The sequence below is a fragment of the Homo sapiens genome, chromosome X (genome assembly GCF_000001405.40).
Source record: "Homo sapiens chromosome X, GRCh38.p14 Primary Assembly".
In the NCBI taxonomy this organism is placed as follows: Eukaryota; Metazoa; Chordata; class Mammalia; order Primates; family Hominidae; genus Homo; species Homo sapiens.
Window position 1 is genome coordinate 116,244,152 of NC_000023.11, and position 1,598 is coordinate 116,245,749.

At 47.0% G+C, this 1,598-nt stretch overlaps 1 annotated feature.

Moving 5' to 3' along the window:
• Positions 829-1,356: an enhancer, noted in NCBI's record as "OCT4-NANOG hESC enhancer chrX:115376237-115376764 (GRCh37/hg19 assembly coordinates)". NCBI's record gives its function as "activates a minimal SCP1, AML or CMV promoter by ChIP-STARR-seq in naive H9 embryonic stem cells {active_cell/tissue: H9 hESC(naive)}" and the evidence as "EXISTENCE:reporter gene assay evidence [ECO:0000049][PMID:30033119]".

Genomic DNA, 1,598 nt, shown 5'->3' on the forward strand with positions numbered 1-1,598 from the left:
TGGGAAAGGGCTCTCGAACAACCTCCAACTCTTCGGAGTTGGGAGCGTTGGTTTGCCTGGAAACAGCTTCCACTTTTCCCATACTTCTGGGCTGAGCCTAGGGTTGACAGAGAGGACAGCCATTCAGCTCTGGGGTCACGACAACAAGTTGGTTGACCCTGCAGCCATAAGCAGAACTCTCAAAGTTACTTCACCCAAGCGAGACTTGCCCATCTATCCTATCTATCCTGACTTTTGCCTCCTGGGTCCTAATGCCTGTCAGACAAACTTCCTCTCGCCTCTCTTCTCCAAGGCTACTCCCACTTCTAAAAACCACTCCCTGTCTCTGGTGCTTTTCTAGTTTCTCCTATAAGAATGATTTCTAGTATAAACTCCAGGACTGTATTCCCTTCTTTAGGCACCTGGGCTCACCAATCAGAAAGATATAATTTTTTCCCAAAGCCCCATTGTAGAGGGGGACTATCTGGAATTTTAGGATCCCTCCTCAGACAAGCAGGCCTAACAAAAGCTATTCCTGAAGCTAGGATATGGGGATCTTCAGAAATTGTATCCTTCCTATTCATATAAGTGAGGACAAAAGGCATCACTCTTGCAACTCTGGAGATCCCTTCCCTCCCTCAGGATATGGCCCTCCACTTCATTTTTGGGGCATAACATCTTTATAGGACACTGGTAAAGTCCCAATACTAACAGGAGAATGCTTAGGACTCTAACAGGTTTTCGAGAATGCGTCAGTAAGGGCCACTAAATCCGATTTTTCTCGGTCCTCTTTGTGGTCTAGGAGGACAGGCAAGGGTGCAGGTTTTCAAGAATGTGTCGATAAGGGCCACTAAATCCAACATTCCTCAGTCCTCCTTGTGGTCTAGGAGGAAAACTAGTGTTTCTGCTGCTGTGTTGGTGAGTGCAACTATTCCGATCAGTAGGGTCCAGGGACCGTTGCAGGTTCTTGGGCAAGAGGTGTTTCTGCTGTTGCATTGGTGAGAGCAACTATTCTGATCAGCAGGGTCCAGGGACTGTTGCAGGTTCTTGGGCAGGGGGAGAAACAAACAAACCAAAACCATGGGTGGTTTTGTCTTTCAGATGGGAAACACTCAGGCACCAACAGGCTCACCCTTGAAATGCATCCTAAGCCATTGGGACCAATTTGACCTGCAAACCCTGAAAAAGAGGCAGCTTATTTTTTTTCTGCACTATGGCCTGGCCCCAGTATTCTCTCTCTGATGGGGAAAAATGGCCAACAGAGGGAAGTATAAATTACAATACTATCCTGCAGCTTGACCTTTTCTGTAAGAGGGAAGGCAAATGGAGTGAAATACCTTATGTTCAAGCTTTCTTTTCATTGAAGGAGAATACACAACTATGCAAAGCTTGCAATTTACATCCCACAGGAGGACCTTTCAGCTTACCCTCATATCCTAGCCTCCCTATAGCTCACCTTCCTATTAATGTTAAGCCTCCTCTAATCTCCCCTGCCCAGAAGGAAACAATAAAAGAAATCTCCAAAGGACCACAAAACCCCCTGGGCTATCGGTTATGTCCCCTTCAAGCTGTAGGGGGAGGGGAATTTGGCCCAACCCGGGTACATGTCCCTTTCTCCC